Source organism: Homo sapiens, chromosome X (assembly GCF_000001405.40).
Source record: "Homo sapiens chromosome X, GRCh38.p14 Primary Assembly".
Taxonomy (NCBI): domain Eukaryota; kingdom Metazoa; phylum Chordata; class Mammalia; order Primates; family Hominidae; genus Homo; species Homo sapiens.
The window spans coordinates 32,685,391-32,712,820 of NC_000023.11; the positions used below are offsets into that span (position 1 = coordinate 32,685,391).

The 27,430-nt window shown below is 34.9% G+C and overlaps 1 protein-coding gene across 17 annotated transcripts in view; it reads right to left on the minus strand.

The window, feature by feature from the left end:
- Positions 1-27,430, minus strand: part of DMD (dystrophin) — a 2,220,167-nt gene that overhangs the window by 1,566,169 nt on the left and 626,568 nt on the right. For all 17 annotated transcript variants that reach the window (XM_006724469.4, NM_000109.4, XM_011545467.2 and 14 more), the window contains 2 exon segments: positions 13,722-13,903; positions 12,480-12,608 (listed from right to left, as the gene is read on the minus strand). In XM_006724469.4, coding sequence (XP_006724532.1) covers positions 12,480-12,608; positions 13,722-13,903 — 311 coding nt within the window.

Consider the following 27,430-nt stretch of genomic DNA (forward strand, 5'->3'; position numbering starts at 1 on the left):
TTAGCAATCTGACACACAATATAGAAATTTCTAATTAAAGTTCTATTTTTATAATGCTAATCTTTCAGCCAAAAATTTCCTTGGGACATGTTATAATGAAGATAAAATGTACTAAGATTTTAAATTGACCAGAGTTCCCAGAGACACCTAATAAACATTTTCATAAATATTCACTATAAGTAAGTTTTATTGTGAAGTAATCCCATTGTTATACATACCTCTCATCATTGGCATCATTACACTTTAAATAAGTTACCTAATAGAAGTAAGTATTTAAAATGCTAAGCTTGAAAATCTGGATTTGCTACACATAAAAGAGGAACATGACTTTATGTAGCTGAATTGGTATGCAGATGATCTAGAAATGAGGAGTTTCATAACGATACCATCAACTCATCATTAATCCTTCCAAAGATAGTTTATTTCCCCAAAGATTTAATTGATAGCATTCTCATAATTTAAAAAATGACTGTATTTCTATTAAACTTTATAATGAACAAAATATGTGACCGTTAATTATGTGTTGATTTTAAAGTCACTCTAATTATTACTAAATAAGGTATCTCTTCAAAAGAATTAATATTTTTCTTTACATTGACATGCTTAAGGGGGTAAACTCTTAGTGAAAACAAAAAAGTTTGCTAGTAGATTTGAGACCCACATGGATTTAACACATGTATGACATAATAGGAGGCTCTGTGTTAATCTACAAGTTTGGTAACAAGTTTATGTTGATTAACCAAGCATTATTACATTTTTTCACTGATATTATTTGTAGATAAAGACCACAATATGCAAGGATATGTGCTGCCAGAATTCTATAGCAGGGATTAAAATTAGGCATGGGTATCCACTAATTATACATTTTAAGGAATATATCTGTATGGCCGGGCACAATGGCTCACATCTGTAATCACAGAACTTTGGATGGCCAAGGCGGCTGGATCACCTGAGGTCAAGAGTTCGAGACCAGCCTGGCCAAAATGGGGAAACCTCGTCTCTACTGAAAAATACAAAAATTAGCTGGGTGTGGTGGCAGGCACCTGTAATACCAGCTACTCAGGAGGCTGAGGCAGGAGAGTTGCTTGAACCCAGGAGGCAGAGGTTGCATTGAGCCAAGATCGTGCCAGTGCACTTCAGCCGGGGCAACAGAGCAAAAACTCCATCTCAAAAAAAAAAAAAAAAAAAAAAAGAAAAGAAAAGAAAAGAAAGAAATGTATCTAAGTTTTCATTTTCAATCATGGTTGTCATGTATCTTAATTATGATGTTACAACACTTTGAATATAGTTTCATTAAAATATAAGGTTAATAATTTAAAGAGAAAAGATTAAAAATATTAAAATATTTTCTGAAAACAAAATAGATTGTAATAAAATTAATGCAAAAAAGAAAATCAAATTACTTAATGAATGTAGAAACTAGAGATCGCCCTACAGAAAATGTGACAGTGTGATGAATTAGCTTAAAATAATTATAATCCTTAAGAAGACATCATGTTTAACAAAATTCAGGATATCAGGATCCTAGACCAAATATTTCTGCTCTGTAATCTTAGGTACATGACTTAGCATATCTCAGCTTGAGTGTCTTCACCTGTAAAATGAAAGGTGTAGAGGTTTCAGTGTCTACTTAATATTCTTGGTATTAAATTACACATACAAATTATTTCCAAATGGATTTGAAATTTCATTTGTGCTAGAAAGCAATTAAGTGGCCATTTCGGCTCCTACTCTGTGACACTTATGTGCAAGGACATTCTCAAACTTCTTAATCAGGAGCCTGGATATTTGAAGATCTGTACAAGCTTACCTAAAACAAGTACAGTCATCAGTAAGTAGAGTGCACTTTATTGAACACCTGTTAGGCACCATGCTAGCCACATTTCCCAACTAACCTGGATTCTTCAGAAGAATCTTGTAAGTTCTGACAGATTGTATTTTTTTAAGATGGATACAATATGTTTCATCTTACATGTTATTCTTCGGATGTAACACTGATACTTCTCCATCAAGAGTTGGGTTTATGTTTCTGCCCCTTGACTAGGATGGACCCCTGACTATGGAAGAAGTTATACTATGTGACTTCCAAGACTAAGTCACAAAAGGCAATAGAGTTTCTGCTTGGTACTCTTTGGGTCACTTACTCTTGGAATCCAGCCAGCATTTAGTGAGTGACTGCAGATTAAATAAGGCCACATATACATGTTCCAGCCAACTGCCCTGGCTGAAGTTCCAGCAGTAGCCACCAGGCATGTTAGTGAAGAAGCCTTCAAAATGACTTCAGCTTCATCTACTATTTTATTACACCTATATGAGAAGCCCTGAACCCATCTGAGACCCAGAATCAAAAGAGATAATAAGAAAAACGAATGTTGTTTTTATAAGCTCCCAAGTTTTGAGTTGATTTGCTATATGGCAATAGTTACTGGTGAACAAGGTAAGCACACCTGTATTACACAGGTGAGCTAAGCATTACACAGGTATGCCAAGAGATAACTGAGTCACACAACTAAGGTCAATCAGTTGTAACACGAATTCTTACTTCCATAAAGACTTGATTTGTAAAAGAAAAATAATAAAACATAAAAATAAAAAAGTATTAAAATAAATGTTTGAAAAAGATATTCCTTAAGAGGCCCTTCCTAAAGAAGGCATACTGCATCTAGCCTACATGTGGAGATCCAAACAAACTATTAATGATTACAAATAAGCCGCCCTGACCTGCTTAAACACCGGAACACAGATTAGCTAAATTCCATCCAATAATTCATTCAAATTCTAGGAACCGACAAATCCCATAAAATGTAATAAACATGACTTAAATGAGAGCATTCAAATATCCTTGGTTCGCAAAAATTGACTCTATTTTTGTAACATCCACAGCAATACCTCTGGACCTATCTCTGGTATCAAGAGACAAAAAAGTCATTTTCTAGAATGGTTGGTAAAATTATATATCATCTCTTCCAGAAACTCCAAATATCTTTACCAAATGTAAAAATGGACTTTCATTCTACATTTTTTGACTTATATTTTTAAGATTACATTATCATTTATAAATATAATGCAAAATGGAAGAGTGTTGATCCACGTTGTTGTAAATATTTCTTTACCCTTAACTACTTATTGAATGCCTGTTGTGTAAGAAGGTGAATGGAGTCTTTCCCCTCTAACACTCTATGTGATAGTGGAGGCTTTTCTCACATACACTATGCATTAATTATTTTAGCCACCCCATGGAAAGTTGAAAGTATCTTTATTTTAGAGATGAGAAAACTGAGTAATAGAGAGAAAATAGCATATGCAGGTCCCACAGACTAGATTCCTATTATACTCCTGTTTTCATCTTAATATCTTAGCTATGGAATATTCCTTAATGTTCTTCGAAAAGTTTAACACCATTAAAATTCTTATTTACATCAAAATAAACATGAATAGAATAATTCAGAGGACAAAACAGGAAATGTATTTGGGACATGGATGACAGAAAATTTCCTATTCTTATTTAGAATTATCACTTATATGTCAAGAAGAAAAATAACATTCCCACACTATTCAAAGCTTTTTTTAAGCATCAATTTCCTAACCTATTTTGATAGGTAACTCCATTTGTGGAGTTACATCTTTGTAAGATTTTTTTGAAGATCAGAAATAATAAATGTAAATTACATGCTAGGCATTTAACATATTTCCTAAATGCAGACACACCTAGTGGAATAAATGATGTATTTTGGTTATACTATCCTTATAAAATTTTCATACTTAATGAGGGCTTTACCTTAAATAACTTTTTGTTTTTAAGTTACTTACACTAAATCATTTTTTTAAAAACCTCTAGGTTTTTGGACTATAACACAATAACGCTCCTTTAATCTTCATAAAGAGACCACTATGAACAATTTTACACCAAGAAACTGTAATCTAAAAACATGGTTAAATTCCTAGAAACATAAAACCTACCAAATCTGAACTGTGTAAAAATGGAAAAGTCTGAATAGATCAATACAAGTAAGGGATTGAGTAAGTAATTTTTAAACTCTCAACAAAGAAAAGCAAAAGACGAGGTGACTTCATAAGTGATTTCTATCAAACATTTTTTAAAGAAAATTAATGCCAATGCTTCACGAACTCTTTGAAAAAACTGAAGTGGAGGGAGCACTTCCAAATTCACTTTATAAGGTCAGCATTACCAAAGCCAGAAAAAGACATCCCAAGAAAACTGCAACTCAATATCCTTGACAGATATAGAGGCAAAATTCTCAACAAAATTCTGGCAAATTTTAACAACACATTAAAAGGATCATATACCATGACCAAGTGAGATTTATCCTTGGGATACAAGGATGGTTCAACATGAAAATCAATTAGTATGATACACCACGTTAACAGAATAAATAAGAAGTCACATGTTCATTTCATTAGATGCTGAAAACTTGTTTGGCAAAATTCAACACAATTTCACTATTTAAAAAAAACCATTAAACTCTCAACAAACTAGGAATAGAAGGAAATTGCTTCAATGTAAAAGCCATATATAAAAAGATCGCAGGTCATATCACAACAACTGCGAACTGAAAGGATTTTCTATGAAATCAGGAACAGGAGGAACAAGGTAAGTATGCCCATTCTTGCCACTTCTACCGATGGCAATACTGGAAGTCCTTGCTAGAATAATTAGGCAAAAAAAAAAAAGTAAAGGTATATAAATCAGAAATGAAGAATGTTATTCCTATTTGCAGATGACATAATCTTATGAATAGAAAACCCTAGAATCCATTAAAAACACTAGAACCAATTTAAAAATCAGTAAAGTTGTAGGATACAAAATCATCATACAAAAATTAGTTGAGTTTCTAGGAGACAAATTCCATTCACAAGAGCACCAAAAAGAAAACAGTAATAAACTAAAGAGGTCAAAGAGTATGTACTGAAAACTATAAAACATTGATGAAAGAAATTAAAGATGACAAAATCAAATGGAAAGACATCCTACATTCATGGATCGAAGGACTTAAAATTGTCATTACATTCAAAGAAATCTACAGAACTAATATAATCTTTATCAAAATTCCAATGGCATTTTTCACAGAAACAGAGAAAAACTCTGAAATTCATATGGAACCACAAAGAATCCCAAATGGCTAAATCAACCTTGAGAAAGAAGTACAAAATTGGAGGTATCACACTTCCTGATTTCAAAATATATTACTAAACTACAGTAATTAAAAATAAATTGTATTGTCATGAAGACAGACATATAGACCAATAGAACAGAATAGAGCCCAGATATAAATCTACACATATAGGGTTAACTGATGTTCCACGATAGAGCCAAGCATACACAAGGAGGAAAGGATAATCTCTTCAACAAATGGTGTTGGAAAAACTGGATATCCACGTGCAAAATAATGAAATTGGTGCTTATCTTATGCCATATGCAAATATCAACTCCAAACGGATAAAATATGTAAATGTAAAACCTCAATCCATAAAACTCCTAGAAGAAAACATTGGAAAAATCTTGTGACATTCATCCTCGCAATTATTTCCAAAAGCACAAGCAATAAAAGCAAAAAAAATAGAATTAAGACTACATAAAACTAAAAATCTTCTGTTTAGAAAAGGGAACAAATCAACACTGTGAAAAGGCAATCTATGGAATGGGAAAATACAAACCATATATATATATTATGAGAATTATTTCTAACTCAGAGCTATTAGGAGGGTTAAATAAAATGAATTATATAAAGAATACTTCATGGTATAGCTACATTCTAAGTTATCAAAAAGACAGCAACCAATATCATGATTACTATTTTAAATACATCAGGGCTTAGGTAAGATTTTGTGATCAGACCTGAAGACCTTATATTATATTAACAACTGGTTATCTTCTAAAATATATAAAGAATTCCTACAACTCATTGGCAAAAAAAAAAAAACTAAAAACGCAATTAAAAATGGGCTAAAGGCTTGAACAGACATTTCTCCAAAGACGACACCCAAATGGTCAACAGGTGTATGAAAATATGTTCAACATTATGAATTATCAGGGAAATGTAAATGAAAAGCAGAATGAGCTATCACATTTATACCTGTTGGATGCCTACTATTAAAAAATGGATTAGTAAGGATGTGGAATAATTGGAACTATTGTACACCGTTGGTGAAGTAAAAAATGGCATGGCTATTATGGAAAATAATATAGTTGCTCCTCAAAAATTAAAAACAGAACTCCCACTTGATCTAGCAATCTCACTTTTGGATATTTATCCAAAAGAATTGAAATCAGGATCTTGAAGGGATACCTGCAATGCCATGTTCATTGCAACACCATTCACAAGAGCCAAGATGTGGAAACATCCTCAGTGTCCACTGATGGATGAGGGGATAAAGAAAATGTGGTATATACATACAAGAGATTACTATTAATATTCAAAAAGAAAGAGATCCTGCCACATTAACAACATGGATGAACCCTAAGGACATTATGGGAAGTGAAATAAGACAGTCACATAAGGACAAACACTCCATGATTCTACTTATAAGAGGTATGTAAAATACTCAAGCTGATCAAATCAGAGAGTGAAATAGTAGTTGCTAGAGGCTGTGGAGAGGAGGAAGTGGGAAGCTGCTAATTAACGAAGGTTCAGCTATGAAAGATGAGAAAATTCTCAAGATCTGTTGTACAACTTGTACCTATACTGAACAATGCTGTATTTTACACTTAAAAATCAGTTAAGAGGGTGAATCCCATGTTAAGTGTTCTTACACACAATAAAGTAAATTTCAAAAGAAGTTAAACGATAAGAGTGTAACTGTTGAAAATAACATCATCACATATATTCACTTCAAGGTTCCTTCCAGTTTTAAAATTCTACTCAGAAGTCTTCAGTGTACCAATTTATAGAGTTGAGCTAAAACCTAACAATTCTGTTTCTGGGTAATTTGTTCAGTCACATCAGGATGTATAAAGGCTTCCTCGAAGCAAATTAGTGATACTTTTAATCTAAGGAGTGGTCTCCCTGGCTGGCTTCCCATCCTCTGTTTGCCAATTACTTTCTACAATATGTGGACAGTCTGAGGGACAAGTTGTGCCAGGAGGGGGCAAAGGCAGAGATAGAGTGAAAAATCTCCTCTGCCTCATCCCCTCCCAACACAGGATTGCTGGATGTAAAATCACCCAGAAGTGCTTTTTCTGCTTTATAAAAGGCATTACTATGTTCTGCTCTGCATGGTTCCAAGATTGTTCCTCAGCAACCTCAGAACAAAAAAGGATATCCTTTTCCTTAGAATCTTTTACTCGGTATATTAACTTGCCGAACTCTATACAGGTTGTGAGTTTGTTTATAAATCAGAATCCAGGCTATCTCTTCTCATAAAAGTGCTAATAAAAACATAAAAATTTTCTCAGATCAGACCACAAAATCTTATCTAACCCCTGATGTATCTAAAGTAGTAATCATATTGGTTGCCGGGTTTTGAGAACTTACAATGTGCTTATACCATGCAATGTTCTTTATAAAATTAATCTCATTTAACACTCCTAATAACTATATGAGTTAGAAACAGTTTCAATAATACACATGAGGAAACTGAGGCCCAGAGTTCAAGAAATTCTCTGAAGGTCACATAGCAAGTAAGTAATAATGAAGGCTCTTAAAAGTAGATGTAGGGGGGCAGAAGAGTATAGGTAAGAGTGATGTCATATGAGAAAGACTCAATTTGCCCTTGTTAGCTTTGAAGTTGAAAGGGGGCAATGAGCCAGTGAATGTGGTCAGCCTCTAGAAGCTAGAAAAGGCATGGAAATGGATTCTCCTCTACAGCCTCCAAAAGGAAGGCAGCCCTGCTGATATGTTAATGTTAGCTGAATGAGACCTGTTTTAAACATCTGAACTAAAGAACTGTAAAATAATGAATATGTGTTGATTAGGGGCACTAGGTTTGTAGTTGTTGCATCAAAAATCGAACTAATACATATAGACACATGATTAGTTATCAGGATGGGTTAATTTAAAAGAAGTATGTTTTTGTCCCTGTGGCCATCAACTATTCAGGGTAGTGTTTTGAGACCGAGTCTTGCCCTGTCACCCAGGCTGGAGTGCAGTGGCCGATCTCAGCTCACTGCAACCTCCACCTCCTGGCTTCAAGCAATCCTCATGCCTCAGCTTCCCAAGTAGCTGGGATTACAGGTGTGTGCCACCACACTCGCTTAATTTTTGTGTTTTCAGTAGAAACAGCATTTTGCCATGTTGGCCAGGCTGGTCTCAAACTCCTAGCCTCAAGTGATCTCCCCGCGTCATCCTCCAAAAGAGGCGGGATTACAGGCATGAGCCACTACACCCAGCTCGCGGTGTAGTTTGTTTTTTTAAGTGTTACAATGAGGGTAGCCTTCACTTTTACTGTCGTTTGAACCTACTCTAATCAGCAACACCTCCAAATACACACACATGCACACACCACTGAAATTGTTCTTATTAAAGGGGATATAAACTAGAGAGAGCATGTAACTTTATCGGTCAAAATGGGAAAGTTTTAAGAGTGAATAGGAGTGTTAGTAATTCCACTGTAGTAACTGCTATATATTAGGATTTCCCAGACATCGTACCCTACTGTTTTCCTAAATTCACTGAATAATTTTCAATCATCATGTTATTTGAACTCATCAGCAATATTTAATGTAGTTAGGTATCTTCCTTTCTCTGAAAACACTTTCTTCTGGATTCCAGAATGCCACATCTATCTTCTCCTTTTTCTCTCCCCTTTCTAGCCACCTTTTTCAGCCCCTTTGCTGATGCCTCATCATATATACATCTAGAGATCTCATCTGTCTACACATTTTTCCTTGGCAATCTTATCCTGGCCGATGGATTTAAATAACATCTATGTGTTGACTTCTAAATTATTATCCTCAACTCTGATCTTAGAACCCCTTCTTTACATGCATTCATAGCCTCATAGGCACCTCAAGATTAATATGTTTAAAACTGAAATCCTAACGTTCACTCCCAAACCTGTTCCTTCTACAGTCTCACCCATCTTGGTTTGTGGCAACTCTATTTGGCCAGTTGCTTAAGTAAGAAACCTCACGGTAATCCTTGATTTCTCTAATTATTTCATAAGTCACATCTACTGCATCAGGAGGGAAATGACTTTGATGAAATATTGGCCTCCAATTCTGCTACCAGATATGCTATGCTAGAGGATCATGAAACAGAAAAGCTCACAGATAAAATTAAAAGGCTCATATCATACCATTTATTTTTTTTATTTATGTATTTTTGAGACAGAGTTTCACTCTTGTTGCCCATGCTGTAGTGCAATGGCATGATTTCAACTCACTGCAACCTCCACCTCCCGGGTTCAAGTGATTCTCCTGCCTCAGCCTCCCGAGTAGCTGGGATTACAGGTGTGCGCCACCACACCCAGCTAATTTTGTATTTTTAGTAGAGATGGGGTTTTACCATGTTGGTTCGGTTGGTCTCGAACTCTGACCTCAGGTGATCCACCCACCTTGGCCTCCCAAAGTACTGGGAGTACAGGCATGAGCCACCACGCCCGGCCTTACCATTTATTAAATGAGTTAAAAACGTATGGCATGAGGGAAGACAGCAGGAGGATAATAAAATTAGAATACTTTCAGACACAGATTGTTTTGCATGTTTATGTGTCACTTGCTTCAATAACAGTACCTGGCACATAATAGGTGATTCAAACACAAGCGCTAAATAATCAAATGTATGAATACTGCTCTATGTGTGCGTAACGCAATATATAAGAATCACCGTCGAGAAAGTGCAGCGTCACCCTACTATAATGAGCATGGGCATGGAGTTGAATAAATGCAAATTTGAATTCAGGTTCTGCCACTTACTAATTAGGCCTAGAAATACAAATTAAGTTGGCCAATTTAAAACAGAGACAAAAGCACTCTGAGCTAAGGGAAGCATAAAAGCTAATATGGAAAATTTTGGGGCACCTGTGTGGGAGAACGAGTGATGTAATTTGGTTGAAGGAACATGAAATACGTGTGTAATGAGCATAAAAATATAAAATATTAATATATCATAAATCTTTTCGAGGCAGTTTAGGAGAGTAGCCTTGTTATATGGACAAAATTAAGCGAAAAAAATTGTATTATTAGGGCTCTGAATAACATTAAAAAATGGACAAGAAACTTCATAATAAACTTCACTTGGAGACATACTAGGTTTGAGATATTAGTGGATATCAAGGTATAGATACATACAAAGAGTTGAAAATTAATTGGAAATGTGGCTATAACTCAAGTAAGATTGGAAGTGGTGAAGACAGAGATACAATGATCATTTGCATACAGATTGAATACAGATTGAAGCCAGGTTATTAAATTATTATTAAATTATGTTGATAAAAGAACAAGTACAGAGATAAGAATGCCAAGATATTTCCCATGAGTTTCATAAGCTAAAGAAGTTGGAAGAACAGAAAGAGCCAGGTAATGAAAGACACAGAATAGTCAGAGAGGAAGAACCCGCTGAGTGTAGAGGCTGAGAAAAATGTTTCATCAGTGGTAGAAAGTTAGGAGAGCTGAATAAAAGCCATTTGTCTCTGTGATTAAGAATACTTATTTGTTGAATAAATAAATGAAGTTAAAGCAGAGTGATGTGTCTGGGGAGTGAGGGCATGCACGTGTTTTCCATAGGGGACAGTCACCCACATGGCTCTCTCCTCTTATAGAGAACGTTATTTTTCTCTGTAGACCAGCAAGTAAACACTTTAATAAAGCTTTCTGATGGAATCAGATCCAGCCTGTCTTGAGTTCCTTTGAAGTAGAGCAGGTACAGCCTGTAGGGGCAGTGAAAGCTCAGTCCTTTTGACACTTTTGAAATAAATGTTCTTAGTGTGAATAATTAAGGCATACACTTATCAAACCTAACTACATGTAACATCATCTTCTGATATGCTTCCTTTAGTGACAGAATATATCATTCCCCATCCCCCATCTCTTGTGATTTGTGCTGTGTCTTTTTTAAATGATAAACATTACATTTATTTGAATGGCTTATTTTAAATAAAACAAGTAAGTGAATTTGTTGAATTATCTGTGATTTATGACATATTATGTATTTGGTAATATTTACACAAAGGTAGAATGAGCAGAGCCTAGCAAGATGTAAGTCCATTTGTAATTACTTCATTAAGGAGTCATACCTGAGCGATGCCTTAATGAAGGTGGTGATGAGGTGAAAATGTGCTACCAGAATAGGCATTGGAGAAAACCTAGAAAAGGCAGCTCAATAAAGTGATAATGAGAGGGGGAAAAAAACCCCTATATCTTTGCTTGGTGTATGCTCCTTAATCTTAGGAGGTGGCACTTATTCCTTAAGTCTTGGTGATTTCAACGGAGGGAATGGTGATAAATTGAGTCTAGAGAGTCGATGGAGAGTCAAGAGGTCCAGAATGAGAGAGAGTGAGAAGAGAGCTTTGCAAGTAAACTAGCCAAGGATGGAGGTCATAACTATTTCAAAGCTTAGAATTTTCAGCTAATGCATCGATTAACTGCCAAATAAATTACTAATTAAATGCACACCACTATCTTAACAAAAAATTGAGTCTCCAAAAATGTACACATTTTTTAGCCGATAGGATCAGGTCTATCATTTTTAAACTCCCATTCATAGTGTAGTTTTGATAAAAATCACATCCTCTAGCACGTTTCGAATTGGCTCCATTGAGCAAAATAAATCATTTTTGTTAAAAAGTAATTCTTGCAAATCTAGCAATCCTAGCACATTTCATTCCCACGCTGTAACATTTATAAGGCTATTTCTTGTATATTGGGTTCCATACAATATTGAAAGGGTGGAAAACTCCACTGAGTCTTCCTCATATAGAAAGTACTAAACATTGCCGAGAATATGACCTGGTTTCAGTGTGACTTTTTCTTATAAATACTACAGAGCCTGCTATACACAAGTTTAAATTAGCAAAATTAAAGGAGAGCATATGAAGAAGCTTGCAGTTATATTTTTCTTACATAGAATATATATTTTAGAATGAATAGATAAAATAATTCACTTAGAATGTATGTATTTCCTTTACGTAGATCCAGAAAAATCTCCCCAAATAGTGTAATTAGCAATTTTCACAGATGTACCTACACTTTTCGAAGTTACATATATAAAACTTTTCATGAGCCTCATGTTTTTTATAACCATTAGCAGCCTTTGTCAAAGAGAACCTTAGAGGTTATTACATAATGAAAGTAGAAACCATTACGGGAATTCATATTTATGAAGAATCAACGTATAGTAAACCTAGAGAAGACTCAATAACAAAGCAGAATCACATGAGGGAATCAATAAAACTTGGAAAAACAAACCAGCTCTTCACGAGGAGATAAAAGGCACTGAAAAATTCAAGCAAGTAAAAGCAGTGTTAGATTATCTTGGAAGCAGTTCTCTGGTTTGTACAACAGAGAGTAAATGTTGACAGACCTGTGAAGGAAATGGGCTCCGTGTAGGGTCAGAGGTGGTGACATAAGCAGCCTGTGTGTAGGCATAGCTCTTGAATCGAGGCTTAGGGGAAGAAGTTCTCTCATATCCCTGTGCTAGACTGACCGTGATCTGCAGAGAAGGGTTTGGGGGAGTGGATAGAGAGGAGGGGGAAAAACCATAAGTAACCCGAAAGGACTACTTTCCAACATGGTAGAAAACAGAACATTAAATGGAAATGGTGAGATTCAATGTTTAATACTAAACATATATAAATGATATTCGAAATTGGTATACTCCCAGAATGAAGGCACTTAATATCATGTTGGAGAGTAAATGATCTGGGAAGATATGAGCATGCTATTTAGCCATGAGGATTCCAAAGTAACACAACTCCAACATTTATATGGGATGGTACTCTTCAATCCGGCAAAAACAGGCATCCATAAGCAATTTTCTCTAAATCCAAAGTAAATAAAAACAGAATTCATCAGGTCCATACCCTGGAAAGGACTAAAAATTTCATAAGCTAATACAGAGCTAGCTCAGCAAAGTGAGAGAGTTTGGCCTAAGAGCTCTCCACACATTCAGCAGAAATGTTGCTAAAGGTTTCTTCACTGTTGTTTGTGCCTGAGAAAGCATAGGAAAACATCCAAACCACCCACTGTTGAGAGAAAGAACAAGCCAATGTCATGGAAGAACCCCACTAAATTCTATACAATTATGTAACGAAGAATTTCATCATGTTTTTCTTTATTGTTTATTTGAAATAGTTTAAAACACTTTTCTATTTTCAAAATTGTTATCCTGAATAATCAAAATCTGACTTTGTACATCATATTGTCATAAAGTATTTTTTAATGATTAAAAACTGTATTTGCCTTTAATCTTTCTCTAGCTCTTTGTTCTAGTTGATGAAGATTTTAGAGTTTAATATGTACGTAAGTTTGCCTTTCATTTCATTGTGTGTTACACAATGGAAATTTAATATATTATGTTCTATATTCCTATGATATGGTACATATGAATAGTATTTTTAAAATATGTTTTGAAATGAATATTGTAGTCAATGAAGCAAAATTGAAAAGGTTTAGTCTGTCTCTTTTTGTACATATACATACATTAGGCTTTGTATATATACACGTGTATATACATATAAGTTATATATATATGTGCACGTAATACCTAAAAATGCATATAAAACAGAAAACATCTTGAATAGTAGCTGTCCTTTACACACTTTACCTGTTGAGAATAGTGCATTTGATGATGTAACTGAAAATGTTCTTCTTTAGTCACTTTAGGTGGCCTTGGCAACATTTCCACTTCCTGGATGGCTTCAATGCTCACTTGTTGAGGCAAAACTTGGAAGAGTGATGTGATGTACATTAAGATGGACTTCTTATCTGGATAGGTGGTATCAACATCTGTAAGCACATTAACACTACACATCAATTTTTGGTTTCTATATTTGAGACTCTAAAAGGATAATGAACAAATCAAAGTTAAAGGAAGACGATAGATTAATGAACAGTGAATTGTCCATGAATGTCCTCCAGAGACTAATTAGAACATGAGAATGAGGCCTAAAATGTCTTTCCAATTTGGCAGACCAATGAGATGAGCAGTAAAGTTAATTTATTTTCCTTGTTCATATAAAAACTTCATTCCATATTACTTTTTCCTAAGTCAAATTGCCAAACTAGCCCATCTAACAGAGTAGCTTTCATTAGATAAGAAACAAAAATAAAAGATTACATTTTCCCTCCAATGGAAAGTTATATTAACATGTCAATTCAAATGGTGCACTGGTAATTAAACAAATACACAAAATGGTTTACCGCTTTGGTTCTCAGTAAAGAAACCTGATACCTTTTAACTGAATGTTGCTGATATTAAAGTATGCAGAGAGCTAAATAAGTCTCTGCTGAAATGAGTCATGTATCCACAATATAAATTAAACAGAAAAATACCATATAATGATTTTTACTATTCCGTGTATGTTAAAAATATTTGTTTACATTGTGGTGCATGGGATAAAGTAGAATATCACTTTCCTTCTCAGACATTAGAGACAAATGTAAAAGTCCCGCACATTAAGTTGATCTGACTTCATATCCTTTGCCACATCCAGAAAGTGAATGAAACGCAGCATTTAAAGTCAATAATACTTTGTAATAACACATATAAAGTGGCAGCTCCTTCAAAAGATTCATTTGCTACTTGGCATTAAAATTTACTTACTGCACTCATTCCAGTGAACCAAGATGTAAAGTAATCCTTTATGTGAAGTATGTCATTAGTACTAGAAATGTTAACACATAAGTTCTGACTATGAAATGCTAGCATTTCATTGTCATCCTTTTTCATCCTTTAAAAAGAAGGAAATTTTGTCATTGAGACAGCATGTGTAAATCTGGAGGATATTAAGTGAAATAAGCCAGGCACAGAAAGATAAGTACCACATGATCTCACTAACACATGGAATCTAAAAAGTTGAATTCATAGAAGTAGAGAGTAGAATGGTGTTTACCAGGGGCTGTGGGGCAGGGGTTGGGAAGATGTTGGTCAAAGGACACAAAATTTCAGTTAGATAGGAAAAATAAGTTCAGGAGATCTATTGTACAACCTAGTTTATAACAATGTATTGTATTCCTAAAAATTGCTGCGAGAGTAGATATTAAGTATACTCACCATGAAACATGCTAAGCATATGAAGTAAAACATGTATTAATTAGTTCAATGTAGCCATTCCAGAACGTATACATATTTCAAAACATCGTGTTGTACATGATAAATGTATGCAATTTTAGTTTTTTAATCATTAATGAATATAAAAATCAAAGATAAAAGATAAACATAAATCCTGGCAGGAGGTCAAGGTAATGTGGCAATGTATTTTCCTTGCCATACAATTTATCTTAGCTTAACTACTATTAAGATATCTGTATTCAGTATGTATATTCTGATCAGGTGTTCTGATTATAAGTGAAAAAGCCAAGAGTAAAGTCTCAAGTCCGTTAGCACAAAAGCAGGTTGAACAAGTGACTTCATCAATTCTTTTGCAAGTATCAGAACCATGATTAATCAGAACAGCTATTTTTAAAGTATTTTTAAAAAGAGTTACAAGAGACGAAAAAATTAATGTTCCTTGGTCTACTTCTATCCGTAGAACAATACAGTGCTTCTCAATTCTTAATGTACATATGAATCACCTGGGGATCTTTTAAAACTACAGAATCTGATTCAATAGATCGGGGTAGAGCCTGGAGCTCTGCATTTGCAATAGTCTCCCAAGTGATGCTGAAACTGCTAGTCTGCTACATTTTGAATAAGGGCCAAAAACATTACTTATAAGCAGACTGTTACATCATCTCCCGTTTTATTGTTTTATTCATTTATTCAAATGATATTAGACATTTCAATGCACAAGGCTGAAAGGTACAAAGTTATACAACACATATGGCTCAACTTATTACACTTTAATTATTAATCAACAGATGGTCAAAGTAATTTTTGCAAGTACTTTTTAAAGAAGAACTAAATAATATTTTGTGCATGAACACTGCCTTCCTTAATAATCTTACAAACTTAGCTTTGGAATTCTGAAGCCTAGAAATCTCCAATTCATTTGATAATTGTTTTTCAAAATATTTGACCAATTGTTTCTTATATAGTAGATACTATACTTCACCGTATCTTGAAATTCTAGAAAATGTTCTTCCTTCTCACTAGTAACTAGTCAGCTGTACCTGTGATTAGCATAACTTAGAGCTCTTTCATTTTTAGTATATTAAATAAAACCATGATGTGAGAAAACAAAAAGGGTTGAGCCTGTGCCTATTCACTGCTGTGTTATACATAGACACATGCATGTATGTTTGGTCTCAAATATATGCCATTATAAAAAGTAAAAAATGGTGAAAAATTGGCCAAGCATTATTTTTATTGCCCCCCAAAAAATTTCAAACATTGTAATAAATTTCATTTACATAAAACATGTGGACTAAATGCAGCTGTTCATAAATATCAGTCATTACAATAAATATGCACTTATTTAACCAAACTATTGCCATTTTGCCCCAAACTATTACTATCCCACTTCTGAGATTATGTGGAATTCAAAACTGCCAGTAGGTAGAAATAAGTAATTTTTGAAGAAAGGAATTTAGGTCTTCTAAAATATTTTGAATTTCATCAACATACATTTTCAAGAAATCTATTATATTCAAAGTATTTTAATGGATTATCCAGGAAATTTGAAAGATAGAAAATTCATGAATTCTGCTTCTAATTTGGAATAAGAAAGTAAATAATAGAAGTACAAAGTAATTGCATTGCTGAACAGAATTTAAAATGTGTTCCTCTAATTGGCACAACCAGTTGTTTAACATGTTCAGATTTTTAAAATCATATAATATTGGAGGATAAGGCAATTCTCTTTAAATAGGAAACTGAATTAATTATGCATAGGATTTCAATAGCTGGAAATGAGGGAATGGGGAAGAGTATTCGGGGCAGTGGGAATATGTAGAATAAACATGCAGAGGTAGGGACACATTAGCGATGTCTTGGCAACAGTGGCTTTGTGTGTCTTAGAGAGAGTAGAGTAGTGAAAACTAAGATGAAACTGGTAGATTGTACATAGAAAACTGAGGGATCATCAACAGCAAACTAGAAAACCTGGCCTTCATTCAATAGACTAGAGAGTAAATACTTTTCAATGAGAGGGTGACACCATCAAAATTTTATTAAAGTAAATTCTTTAAGTACAGAATGGATTGCTGGAGGAAAACTTGAGAGAAATAGGAGGCTAGGACCATAATCCAGATATAAAGTGTTCAAGATCTAAGGTACAACTGTGTACGGGGGAAATGAAAACAAGTCAATGAATGACAAAAATTCTAAGATGGATCAAAAATGACTTCATTCAATTTTCAAATCATTTACTCCACAGTCTTTGGAAATGCCTATATACAAAGTTATGTGCTACAGCCTTAGGATATAAAGATTAATAAACTGACAATAAAACAAAGGAGGAAGAGGACGAAAGAGGACACTGATTGTTCTGCAGCCATGGTAACAAGTAGACACCAACAAAAGTTTCAATCTACCCTATTTATTCATTTAACAATTAGTTCCTCCATGATTCTTATCATGCTTCCCCCAGCCAACCAGCAGCAAACACTCCCTTCTGAAACTTTGCCAGAGTGGATTCACTTCAATGAAGATAATTCTCAAACTAATTAACAATGGTCTCACCTGAGTTACCACGCTTCTAAAGCTATCATCATCCTATTCCCAATCTGAAATGTTCTTAGATTGCTGGACTTCTGACTCCCCCCGCAAAACCTAAGAATACGCTCCTTTCAGAGACTGTGGTTGACCAGGAGCATTCCCTCTTATTTAAGATGTTATGAAGCCCAAATCCAATGTTTAGTAAAACTGTAAAGTTTGTTGAACCTTAATACCATTACTATGTTGCATTTTTTTGTCATTTTTGTCATATTTTTGCTGTTTCTATCATTAACACAAAAACAAACCTAGTTGTAGGAGACCATTTGTATACTATTAACAGGAAGCCAGAAGAATTTACTTAGAAGGAAAAAGCATTTATCACTTATTCCATATGTGCTAAGTGATTGTCATGTGCTATAGAATATACTTAGACTATGTTAGATTATGAGTATATAGCAGATGAGCCACCCCATAATTATAAACATTACTTTTTATGGGAAATCAAAATAAATGTTATGGACTTCGGGGTAATCCTCATTTATGATGACTGCACTAAGGCCAATTCCTGGCACTCTGTGATCACCTAAGTATTTGTTAAGAAACTCAATACAGAGGACAGTTAAAGTCATAGAAATTGATGAGAATTATGTAAGACAGTGACTAAAGGCAATGGTATGATAATGAGTACTATAAAGTATTTGAGGAGTATGAAAATGATGGGATGTAATTTATACTTCTTATTACACGACATTAAGATTTTATGAAATGAGAGCAGTGGCTGAATCCCCAAAGTAAGAACTTAACAATTACATGAACGTAATTTTACACCAAGACTCTACTACATAAAATGCTCACGGACACCAGATTTTAATAATTGCTTATCCAATCTTTGAAGCCGTCTCAGAATGAAAATAGTGAGAACTCACAATACTGCTAGAGATTTTACTTTATGAACAATAACACCGTTTCTGATGAGTGTTTCATATTTGAGGATACTATGGAACAAATAAATCATTTAGCGAAATTTGATCATTTTTCGAATAAAGAAGTTGAACCTCATGGCGGTCTGAAGGCAAATTCAAAGGCTAGTCAAAATCAGATTAGAAACCAGTCATTGCACTACACTGCCATGGTACCTTAACCTCATTCTCTCAGATACTATCTCAGTGTATTTGAAGACCAAGTATCGCACAAAGTTTGCTTTCAACATGCCCTCACCCCAAGAAAGTCAATGTGAGTAAGTAAGATGAAAGCAGTGCCTTCAACAAAACTAATCTTGGGCAGTCAACCTCAGGGAAGTCCGATTAGCCAGTCGCTGGGTGTAACCTTCAAACACCGCTGGGAAATCTAAAGAAGAGGCTCTACTGTCTAAATTTCAGGCCAAGTTTCTGCCAAGGGACAGGCAGGAATGGAAATACAGAATTATAATGCATAGCATGTGTAATTGAAAACAAGCAAGATTTCAAAGATAGCAGGTATAAATGTGCACTCACAAAGCTTTAGTTGGTCAGTCTTTTAAGAGTTTTATTAAACAACAAAAACTGTGAGAGGATGTCATTTAGAAACCATGATGAGCATCAACCTCCCCACAGGGTTTGTATTAGGAAACAAAAATAAATAAATTCACTGAGAAGAAAAGGAATAGAGAAACTGGAAAGAAGGCACTTCTGGTCATAAACTAGCCATAGCCAGAATGCTCAAAATATGAAAACAGAAAGGCCTATATGTTGGCACAACCAAAACCTATGGTTGTAAACAATAACCTAATTCATTGATGTGATATTCTAAAAGGACAAAGTGCTGGAAGTAAAGTGGATTATTTTTTGAGGCTTGCATACGAAGAGATTTATGTTATAATATCATCTGATATCTAAATGCTGGAGTTTCTAAGTTGTAGACCATATCATGGCAATGGACTAATTCATTAAAGCATGATATTGTTATTTTTAATATTTTGTATTTGGCATTCAGCACTGACTGCATTGTACATACATGTATTCTCTACTTACAAGTCACTATATACAATAGATATACAACATTTTAATTAAAATTTGCACAACTCCTCCCATGTTAAATTTTTTAACATTCTGCAAGATATGTTCTGCCTTAGCTAAATTAAGTACTCCTTAATTAATCCATTTTTAGCACTTCATTCACTGATACAAGCAGTTGCTTTTACCATTTAGTAACAATGCTTCTCATTAAAGGACGGTAAAATGTCATAATGGAAATAATTTGCGTTGATGAAGATGATTGAATTTCATCATAAAATTAATAACGATAAAAAGTAATGGCCTATATTTATCCAGGAGAAACACAAAACAATTTTATCTTTTGCACTTTCCATTACGCTTTTCAACATGCTTATGGTGTAACTAGCAGAAAACTATCACCATCATCTTGTTACAAGTAGAAAACAGTGGCTCAGGCTGGGCGCTTTAGCTCATGCCTGTAATCCCAGCACTTCGGGAGGACGAGGCAGGTGCATCGCCTGAGGTTAGGAATTTGACACCAGCCTGGCCAACACGGTGAAAAGCCGTCTCAACTAAAAATATAAAAATTTCTCCACATCCTCTCCGGCACCTGTTGTTTCCTGACTTTTTAATGATCGCCATTCTAACTGGTGTGAGATGGTATCTCATTGTGGTTTTGATTTGCATTTCTCTGATGGCCAGTGATGATGAGCATTTTTTCATGTGTTTTTTGGCTGAATAAATGTCTCAGGGATCTAGAACTAGAAATACCATTTGAGCCAGCCATCCCATTACTGGGTATATACCCAAAGGACTATAAATCATGCTGCTATAAAGACACATGCACACGTATGTTTACTGCAGCACTATTCACAATAGCAAAGACTTGGAACCAACCCAAATGTCCAACAATGATAGACTGGATTAAGAAAATGTGGCATATATGCACCATGGAATACTATGCAGTCATAAAAAAGGATGAGTTCATGTCCTTTGTAGGGACATGGATGAAGCTGGAAACCATCATTCTCAGCAAACTATCACAAGGACAAAAAACCAAACACTGCATGTTCTCACTCAGAGGTGGGAACTGAAAAAAGAGAACACTTGGACACAGGAAGGGGAACATCACACACCGGGGCCTGTTGTGGGGTGGGGGGAGTGGGGAGGGGGGAGGGATAGCATTAGGAGATATACCTAATGCGAAATGACGAGTTAATGGGTGCAGCACACCAACATGGCACATGTATACATATGTAACAAACCTGCACGTTGTGCACATGTACCCTAAAACTTAAAGTATAATAATAAAAAAAAAATGTAAAAATTAGCTGGGCATGGTGATACACGCCTCTAATCCCAGGTGATCCCAGCTATTCGGGAGGCTGAGGTTAGAGAATCGCTTGAACCAGGGAGGAGGAGGTTGCAGCAAGCTGAGATCGGGCCACTGCACTCCACCCTGGGTGAGAGAGTGAGACTCCATCTCAAAAAACAAACAAACAAAAAATTAAAAAAGAAAAAAACAGTGGCTCAAAATGCATAATGCTTGCCTAGAGCATAACAGGGAAAAAAGGAAAATCAGATGCTTTTAGAAGACTGATACACTGAAAACTATTTGAGCGTTCTGTTAATCAATAAATCCTAAACCTACCAATACAAATGGAACTTATCATGCAGCCAATCCAGTAAATAATGGTAGCTGGAAGTAATGATAGTGATTGTAAAAACTATGGCTGGGCATGGTGGCTCATGCCTGTAATCCGAGCACTTTGGGAGGCTGAGGTGGGCGGATCACCTGAGGTCAGGAGTTCAGAGACCAGCCTGGCCAAGATGGTGAAACCCCGTCTCTATTAAAAATACAAAAATCAGCCGGGTATGGTGGTGCATGCCTGTAATCCCACCTACTCGGGAGGCTGAGGCAGGAGAATTGCTTGAACCCGGGAGGCAGAGATGACGGTGAGCCGAGATCACGCCACTGTACTCCAGCCTGGGAAACAGAGCAAGACTCCGTCTCGGAGGGGGTAAAAAAAAATCTATATTGAAAATATGAGACACAGAAAAATATACTCCACAAACGTTTATTGAGTTACTTTGTGCCAGGCTATATTTTAGACTTTAATAATACAATGGTAAATAAATGATCCCAGAGATATGTTCTCATGAAAGAATGACTGTAATGGGAAAGGAAGTTACGAATAAATAATTTCAAAATTCTCAGTTTACCACTTGCCACTGTATCCCTGCTTCATTGAATTGCCTTCCATAAAAGCCCTCTTCGCTGGGATAGTTTTTGGAAATTAAATCAGAATGGAAGCTCTGCAGTGTTAATACCAAACATCCTGAGAGTGCCTCAGAGCAAATGCACAGAAGCTGGTGGGGAAAAGTCAGTTAAATGAAAATTCGCAACCAACTGTGACTTTAGGAGTTTTAAATAAGACGTGTTTCAGTTGAAAAGTTTTTCAAAAATCAAATTTCTGCCGTGTGCCCTAATCAACAGGAAAAGTTCTATCTTTAAATTTTCAATTTCCAAATGCAGGAAATTTTCAAAATTGTCTCTTCCGTCACAATTGTCCTAAGTTTACATATGTTAAATATATTTTATTTGAAAAATACATCCTTGACTATTTAAATCCTTAGAACAAATATTTGGTATGTAACTTCTAAACCCAGGAGAACAGACACTAACTTGACATAACAAATGGAAGCTACTCAGTCAGCATGGGAGACTACAGATAGAAAAACATCTGTACTTTCTTACAATTCTCTCGACATGCCTGTTGTGGGAAGAACTATTAGGGTTTACATTTGAGATGAAAGTATTTTGACTCAGTGACATTTAACTCTGCTTAAGTGATTGTCACCTGCGGTTTTCGTGCTTTGCTTTTGACCTAACCAAATTGACTTTTTCTTTCCTCTGCTGCTAGAAAAAGTATAGTCAGTTTCAGAAGTAACTCCACCCCTTATCTTCCTCGCTAACATAAAATAGTCTATTTGTGAACCTTAATTGTTTACAGTGTTAGAAGTTATACTTGATACACAGTGAGGCCAGAATAAAGATGTTTATTTCATGTGACATAAATTTAATTGGTTATTATTCTTTCTGGTATATTTTGGGATTTCAAAATATGCCTGATGGTATAAGGGCAGTCCTGGGGCAAATTACTCAATGATGACTAGCTTAACGCAGATATTGTACAAAATGATCAGGTTTTTTTTTTTTTGAAAAAAATATGGTAAAAATGGACCCACTACATATAAAAGAGCTTAGCCTGTTGAGGCAAAAATACCTTGATCAAATCCTGACCCTATCACTAATAGGTAAGGGACTGTGGTAAAATTCACTAATTTCCCTGTCCCAGTTTTTATCTATAAAATGAGTCATATTAGTATCTTGCAAATAATTAGGGATGATGTTAACAGAGAAAATGAATGCAAAGTAAATGCTCAATATATACGATCTATTATTTTTCCTGATTTCCTTCCAATTGGCACATAATTGTAATTCATAGGTTTGCTTGCATTCATGCCTTCATTAAGTATTTGTGGAATGCCTACCATGTGTCAGACATGATACCAATTCACCAAGCAATTAATCACGTTTTATAATTAGAATGGCTCCATTTCCTAATTCCTAAGGAAGAAACGAGTGGACCATTGGACAAACCAGATGGCATACAACACTGATGTGACTCTCTCAGCACAAAACATTTATGTGGGATGGTGTCATGGTGGTATCATATGTCATACGCAACATCAGAATAAGGGGTTCAGTGTTGAGCAAAACACCATCACACACAAACTTCAACAACTGACAAAATAACTGATGGCGAATTAAGTTTTCCTGAACTAATCCAAAGTTTTCAGTAGTACTCTAACTGAAAACTGAAACCAGTGGACGAACATCACGCATTTGTGTATTTTCTAAGCACTACTGGAGGCATGCTGATGAAACACACCCAATCAAGAAGTAGCAAACTTTAACCCATTTTCAAATTACAAAGATACATTTTCCTTTTGACAGTACTTATGAAATTTCATTTGAGTTTGGAGTTTCTGGCTTCCACCATTGTAATTAGGACCTCCCAACTACAAATACAATAATATCCATGGATGTCAAGTAATTTCCAATGTGAAAAAAATGCAATTTAGAAATTTACAGAAGTGAAGATAATCAAATGTGAAGCATTGATGGAGAAAGGTACAAGTGAAAAAGAGAGTAAGCATCCAAAACCATGTAACACAAATATGATGATGATAAGGGATAACTTTATAAAAGAGAATGTAATAAATGATGTTAAGAATGCGTAAAACATAGCTGAGATTGATTTTCATTAAAATGTATATACTAAAGTATATTTTTTGAATAGTGAATAGAATTTGATGTATGTGTTAAAAGACACTGCCTTCCATGCCTGTAAAGTACAGCATGACCCAATCCTTCACACTTAGCTAAAAGCACTCTAATGTCATCCCTCTTTCTCTTTCACACATTGGTCTTGTTTTGTTTTTGCATCTCAAATACCGAAGGCCATTTTACACCTCTTGATCTTCATATTTGGTGCTCTTTTACCTAAAATAATTTCTCTTTTTGCATTTTTGATTCATTCTCACCCATTAGGTCTTAACTCATATGGCACCTCTTCAGAGATGCATTTCCTATCCCATTTAAAGAAGCCCAACCCCTTTCCCTTTATTTTACATTGATTTCCTTTACATTGCTTGTCACAAACTGTCATTATTATGTTTATTTTTTATATAAGAATATAAAAACCACAAAGGCAGGAACTTCCTTTAGATTGTTTTACCAATGACTGAGAAGTAGTAGGTACTCAGTATTTGTTAAATCAGTAAATGAATGGAGAGAGAACCTTTTGGGAATAAAGGTTCATTTTCATGGTCTACACCCCCTGAATGTAGAGTAAGACACATGTTGAAAATTGAGCACTGCTTGAAGGGGCAGAAAGCACATAGCAAGGAACAGGAGCAGCCTGTATTTTTCTCCCTACAAAATTCTGCAAAAGAGATTCAGTTTGGTATAGAATTAGTTTTTATCAAGTATCAATTATATACAAGAACTTTTATTATGTTTTTTTTTCATTTAAATTCACCACTCTCTTGTGAGTTAAGAATACAGCCCAAGGTCATACAACCAATAAGTGACAGTCTGATTAAAGTGGAAAAAAAAAAGTAGAGTCCTTGGTTTGGCTCCCAGTTCTTTCATTTTGTGACCTTGGATAAAGTTAAGCATAATGCACCTCAGCTTCCTATTGTATTGCAAGAAGTTTTTCTTATTGATCACATTTCCAAAAATAAGACTTGATTTGAAGAACATCTCATGCTCTAGAAACTGTATCAGATTATTTTTAAGTGATAGGGAAAGAAGCATTAATTTCCAAATTAGAGAGCATTAGCAGGTTAATCAAGAAGCCTATGAGTGATGATGACAAAGTTAGTACATTTTAAATTCAGATTGAAAATACTCAAGACACAGGAAAACTAATGTTTTATTCATTGTTCTAAACTTTGGCATACACACTACAAAATAGCACCGTGCTTTACAAAAACGTATTTTCAAAAATAATATTGACTGATATCTACAGAAAAAAAAATGTACTCAAGTGCTCTCAGACTGAGGATAGGAAAAGCAGACTCCTTAGAACTTTGGAAGCATAGCTTCCAAAAATTTTGTGCTAAGCGTCTGCATACCTGGGGGTTTGAAAGATTCAAGTGTGTGAATTCCTTGTCATCTCACTAAAACTATGAGTCAGCGGTGGGTAGGATTCTACCAAATAATGATAATTGTAAAAAATGCTTTTTAAGCTCAGATATATGAGAAAGGGATTCAATAAAGAAACAAAAACCTAGGATGGTATACACACATTTATAAACAATATGATCACTAATATATAACTATAATATGCATGCAAACATTACATATTTGGAAAGCAACTCCCTTTGACTAGATATTAGCAACTTCAAAGACTAAATAGAGAAAAGGAAAGGCTTTGCGTAGAATCTTACTGCTATTTTAATTACTGAATGTTCCTTTTGTCCATTTGCAATTTTAAAATTTCTTCTTTCCTTTTCTCAGTGGCTGGATGAGGGTTAAAACTGATATGCTAAATACCACATAACCCATTTTCTTGGTATAGCTTCCAGTTCTTCTTGACTCTGAAATGTCGGCCTCTCTCAAATACCTCTCCCTCAGGTAGAGCTCTACTAGCAGGGGCCTGTCTTTCCTGATGACCAGAAACCCAGGGGCTTGGTATAACTATCTCAATTACTATATCCTATGGAGCCTGACTCCTTATCATAGCTCCAGTCCCCATATGGGCTCTGATCTTGGATTGACCAGATGGGTCATTTCCACTCTTATCTCAATGGGAACGTGCCCCTTGATTAGGAAAGCTTTCCCTCAGAGAAAACACATCCCATTGACGGTTTTGGCCCCAAGAGTTCAACCGTTAGTTGTCTTTGATATTTTAATTTCATAAGTCTGGATTTAATCTCTCACTTTTAAACATTTTATTACAAAAGCCATACATGCTTATTGTAGTGGAAAACTAAAACAGTACAGACGCATTTAAAGTTAATAGTGAAAGTACCCCATATCTCTACAGCACCACAGTCCCATTAGCTAGAAGTAATACTTGTCACCAGATGCTATGTCATCCATACATCCATGCATCTATCCATTCAGCCATTCTTTTAGCTATCCATTTATCATACTCATCTGCCTGTCTAATGAGATTAAACATATACACTGTCTATGCATGTACTTTCTTAAGATGTGCTCAATTAGTAAAGATTCAAAATTTAGCTTTACCACTCACTGGTATTATGAATTTGGATAAGAAACTTAATTTCTTCATTTCTTCATACCCTCATTGGTAAAATGAGGCAAAGACTTTTCCAAGAAGGTAAGTGCAAGTAAGGCATTTAGAGCAATGCCTGGCATAAAGTATGTTTTCAGCAAATTTCAAGTTTAAAATGTATATACACATGTATATATACAATGTGAACTTCAAAATTAATTTCAGTAATGCATGTATTCATTTATCCATTTATTTATTCTGTAACTATTTATTGGACACTTGCCATAAGTCGAGGATTATGCTGGACACTGCAGCTGAAATAGTGAGCAAAAATAAAAACAAACACAAACAAACCTAGACCCTGATTTTATGGTGCCTATAGTCCAATGGTAGAGATATATCTGCCTAACAGTCCATAGCATGAAAAATACTGGAGCTACTGTGTACAACGCTGCAATGAACATCCTTACACATTTGTCGTAGATATGTATGAGTATTACTATATATCTAATTCTTAAATGTGAAACCTCAGGATCAAATATATGTAAAATTACATATTTTGAAAGATAATACTAAATTGTCTGATTAAAATATTACAAGTTGTGTTTCCTCCAAAAGAAACACAGGGCCTATTTACATGAACCCTCATAATAAGAAGATATTTGTACTATGCATTTATTTATTAGTTAAGCTTAATTTTATTTTGATGGGCTATTTCTAATTTTCCCAAGTGAATGTCCTGACCATAATATGTAGCCACTTTTAAAATATTATACTTTGTATATTCATTGTAGGAGTGTTATCATACTGAGGTTATTGATTTTTTATTACTAGTGTCATTCTGCAGTCCATCATAGGTTTTATTACTGTTTAATGGTCTTTCACAATGGAAAATATTTTAATTTTGTGTTGGTAAATTTGTCGGTAT